Source organism: Homo sapiens, chromosome 1, assembly GCF_000001405.40.
Source record: "Homo sapiens chromosome 1, GRCh38.p14 Primary Assembly".
NCBI classification, from domain to species: domain Eukaryota; kingdom Metazoa; phylum Chordata; class Mammalia; order Primates; family Hominidae; genus Homo; species Homo sapiens.
In genome coordinates, this window is record NC_000001.11 from 17,870,482 (window position 1) to 17,875,345 (window position 4,864).

Consider the following 4,864-nt stretch of genomic DNA (forward strand, 5'->3'; position numbering starts at 1 on the left):
TCCAGCCTCTATCTCCCAAGTAGCTGGGACTACAGGCATGCACCACCATACTCGGCTAATTTTTAAATTTTCTTTTGTAGAGAAGGGATCTCCCTCTGTGCCCAGGCTGGTCTCACACTCCTGGGTTCAAGTGATCCTCCTGCCTTGCCCTCCCAAAATGCTGGACTCACAGGCATGAGCCACTGTGCCTGGCCTGTTCTGCTTTCTGTCTATACAGGTTTGCCTTTTCTGGTCACTTCGTTGAAATGGAATCATAGAATAGGCAATGTTTTCTTTCTGGATTCTTTCATTTAGCAAAATGTTTTTGAGGTTCAGCTATGTTGTTGCAGGGATCAAGAGCTATTTCTTCTTATTGCCAAGTAGCATCCTGTTGAATGGATATACCACATTTTGTTTACCCATTGGTTTGTTGATGAGCATTTAGAGTATTTCCAGTTTTTGCCTGTGATGAATGACATAGCTATGAGCATTCACATGCAAATCTTTCTGTGGACATGTTTTCATCTCTCTTGGGTCAATTCCTAGGAGTGGGCTTGCTGGGTCTTGACAAATTATTGTTTATCTTTTATAAGAAACTGCCAAATTGTTTTCCATTTTAAATTTCCACCAGCAATGCATAAGGGTTGCGCTTCCTCTATATCCTCAACACTTGGTATTATCTGTCTTTTTGATTAAAGTCGTTCCAGCAGATGTGTAGTGGTATCTCATGGTGGTTTTTATTTGCATTTCCCTGATGATTAATTATGTTGAGCATTTTCTCATGTGCTTGTTTGCTGTTTGTATATTATCTTTAATGAAATATGTATTGAAATCTTTTGCCTATTGGATTTTTTGTCTTATTACTAAGTTATCAAAGTTTTTTTTTTTGTTTTTTGTTTTTTGTTTTTTTTTTTGAGACAGAGTTTTTCTCTTGTTGCCCAGGCTGGAGTGCAATGGCATGATCTCGCCTCACTGCAACCTCCGCCTCCTGGGTTAAAGCGATTCTCGTGCCGCAGCCTCCCGAGTAGCTGGGATAACAGGCATGCACCACCACGCCGGGCTAATTTTTGTATTTTTGGTAGAGATGGGATTTCACCATGTTGGTCAGGCTGGTCTTGAACTCCTGACCTCAGGTGATCCATCTGCCTAGGCCTCCCAAAGTCCTGGGATTACAGGCATGAGGCACAGCACCCGGCCAAAGTTCTTTATATAGTCTGGATACAAGCCCACAATCAGATATATGATTTGCAATATTTTCTCCCAGTCTGTGGCTTTTCTTTTTATTCTCTTAATGGTATCTTCTAAAGTGTGAAAGTGGTTAATTTTGATGAAGTCCAATTTATCAATTTTTCTTTACATCGATCATGCTATTGCTGTCATATATAATAATTCTTTGTCCAACCCAAGGTTATAAAATTTTTTTTCCTATGTTTTCTTCTAAAATATTTAGAGTTTTAGTTCTAACTTTCAGGCCTAGGATCTGTTTTGAGTTGATTTTTGTGTATGGTATAAGGTAAAGGTATCAATTGATATTTTTAACATGTGAATATCCAATTATCCTGGCACCAATTGTTGAAAAGATGATTGTTTCTCCACTGGAATGTCTTAGGACCTTTGTTGAAAATCAATTAGCCATAAATGTAAGGATTTATTTCTAGACTCTTAATTCCATTCTGTTGGTCTGTGTGCCTATCTTTGTGGCAATACCACACTATCTTGATTTGTGTGGCTTTATAGTAAGTTTCGAAATCAGGTAGTATACGTTCTTTCATTCTGTTGTCTTTCAGAATTGTTTTTGCTGTTCTACCTCTTTAGCATTTCCATATAAATTTTGGGATCTGCTTGTTAATTTCTAAAAAGAAGCCCACAGGGATCTTTGTAAGGATGGCAGTGTCTTTTGCAACCTTAAGGGTGTCACGCCATCACTTGTTCCGTCAGTCATAGAACAAATATGGTACCATATCATCACTGTCTTAGAAGTATTGTGCCACCCCTTGTCCTTTGGTGACAGAGAACAACCCTGGTGCAATGTGGGAGGGGGCCATATAAGATATGAACACCAGAAGGTTGGGACCACTGGGGCCATCTTGGAGCTGGACTCCCACCTATTGGATGTGAACATTCACTGGAAATTGAGACTACCTGAGCACTCAAGAGGGACTGTATTGTGGATCTTCCAAACCAACCAATCAACTTCCACAAGTTCTCTCATCCTTTTGATGATATCAGTGTGAAAGTTGAAGTCCAGGGGCTGGGGTTGGGGTGCACCAGAATTGGGAGATGACAGGAAGCCAGGCTGTCATGCAAGTTTAAGTTTGCCGGGTGGACTTGGATATTTTCAAGGAGACTTTGTTCTCTCCCATCAGACCGGGAACACCCTACAAGAAACTGTTCTTTGGAAGGACTGGAAATGAAGTCTGGGTGTTCAGCAGTGGTTGTGGGACTCAGTAGGTGTCTCAATAAGTTGGGGTGCCATAAGTCACCTGCTACCGATGGATAATAAGGCACCAGCTCTTGCCACAATAGGGTTGCATAACAAATCCCCCTCAAACTCAGTTGGACTACTATGATAGGCATTTCTTCTCAAGCTCACAGTACTAGGGTTCATGAGTCTAAGATGGGCCTGTCCCATGGCTCTGTTTCTGCCTGCAGGTCAGGTGGGCTGGGCTCCAGGCTGCAGGCTTGGCTCAGGTCTGCTTCCCCTGTGCTCCTTCTGGGACTTGGGCTGAGGGCCAGCAGCTGTCAGGGCGTGCTGTTCTCAGGCTCGATTACCAGGGTACAAGGGAGTGGGCAGAAACATGGTGCACGATGCAGGCTTCGCCCTGGAACTGGCACACTGTTGCTCCCACCCACAAGCCCTCAGCCAGATCACGTCACATGGCCACACCCAATATCCATGGGGAAGGAAGAGATTCACTCTGCTTTTTCTAATGGGTGGTTGTGCGAGGGTACATGACACAGCGTGTGGAGGTATAATTTTATAGGGGGAGGGCATGAAGGATGATGACTGATGTCCAGTCCACCACAAGTGCCAGTTTGCATGAATGATTTGCTTTAAAAAAAAGTTAGAGGCCAGGCTGTCCCCAGATGATTGTGCTCAGCCCTCACTTGCACTCATGGGCTTTCTAGGGAGGACAGAAACAGCTGAGTTACAGTTAAGGGACTCTTGGGGAGTTGCCTGTACCCATTCGCCCTCCTCCCTGGCTGCAGATTATAACTGCATGATTAAGTGAATAAGTGGCCTTTCTGTCTTCTTTCTCCAGGGGGCCAGAGATGGGCCAGAAAAGCAAGCCTGGCTCAGGAAAGGCACCATGCAGAAATGCTGTTCCCATTACACAGGTGGCAAGACTGAGGTCCCACCTTTAGGTCCCAATTCTCTATTTGGGAGACAAGGGAAGATCTCAGGTTTCCAACAGGTGGCAAATCTTTACTTTCATTCTCTGTTCCCTCTCCCCACTTATTAATATCATGTGTTCTGAGTGTCAGGGTGGGGACACTGGTGGAGACCCCCCCCAATGTACGATCACTACTAACATAGCTGACATCCATGAGCAACTGCCATGTAGCCGGCACCGTGCTGAGTAACCAGCTCGAAGCTTCTTCACAACAACCTTAGAGGTAAGCAGAATTATTGTTTTCATTTCACAGATGAAGAAACTAAGACATGGAGGGATGAAGGCACTGCAGCTCACCTAGCTGGGATGGGCACACACACCTGTCGGATTCCAATTGTCCACCGGGCTTTCCTGGGCCTCCCTTTGGGCAGGGGTTTCATGAAAGTGGATTTGAGCTCATATCTATGAAAAGACTTTGTAACTTGTGGAGCGAGCTGGCAATAGAAAGGATGTCTTCCTCCTGGTCCAGGGAAGTGAGCTCCCCATCTTTGGAGGTATTCCAACAGAAGCCAGATGGTCATCTTTCAGGAATGCTAGGGAGGGGTTTAGGGGGAATCAGAGGCTGAATCAGTTCATACCACAGATGCCTTCCAGTGTTGAGCTCTGAGGAGTCTAATGGTTATGTTCAGGCCACCTGGTAAGTCAATGCCAGGTTCACAATTAGAATAAGTGCAGGTGTCTGGACTCTCAGGTATAACCATGGACTGTTACTTCTAGAAGTCCCATAGCAGTCATCTAATCCAACCCCCCCATTTTACAGAGATGAGGGGTAACTGAAGAGATGACGCAAGGGCACCTCCATTCTTAGTGACAAAGCTGGATTTGAACTCCGTTCTTCAGGGCTGCCATCTATCTGCCTCTCCTTCTGTGCCCCAGGCTTCCTGGGAGCTAAGAGCCTGCTGTCTCGCCTGCCTGGGGCAGGAGGGAGTTAACAAGATAACTAAGTGACAGCCACTCTGCAGCAGCGGTTTCTTGTTGAGAAATGCAAATGCCTTTGTGAGGCCACGCTCAATGCTTCACGTTTTTTTACACCACACAAATTACTCTTTTTTCCCCCTCCCTCTAAGACTTGTCTGGGATTGTTTGTACTACAAAAACCAGAGGGAATTGAGCCATTTTCTGGAACAATCCTGCCAAATCCAGCCTCTGGGATGAGGCCTGCTTCAGCAATGAGGGCTGTCACCCACCGTCCCTTCCTCCTGCTGGCTGTGGGGCCCAGCATCAGGGACACAGCTTCCTGGCCTTTCTGACTTCCTCCAGGGATGGGCCAGAAAAGCAAGCCTGGCTCAGGAAAGGCACCATGCAGATGTTATTCCCATTACACCGGGAGGAAGACTGAGATCCCACCTTCAGGTCCGAGTTCTCTATTTGGGAGACAAGGACAGATCTCAAGTTTCCAACAACTGGCCTATCCTTACTTTCATTCTCTGTTCCCTCTCCCCAGTAGCTGATTTCTATGCCCTTGGCAAGGCACTCACTGTCATCCTGTT

At 45.5% G+C, this 4,864-nt stretch overlaps 1 annotated feature.

Annotated features, from left to right (window-relative positions):
• Window positions 3,132-4,331: an enhancer, noted in NCBI's record as "P300/CBP strongly-dependent group 1 enhancer chr1:18200107-18201306 (GRCh37/hg19 assembly coordinates)". NCBI's record gives its function as "activates an origin of replication core promoter dependent on BRD2, BRD4, P300/CBP, MED14 and CDK7 cofactors, with strong dependence on P300/CBP, by STARR-seq in HCT116 cells {active_cell/tissue: HCT116}" and the evidence as "EXISTENCE:reporter gene assay evidence [ECO:0000049][PMID:35650434]".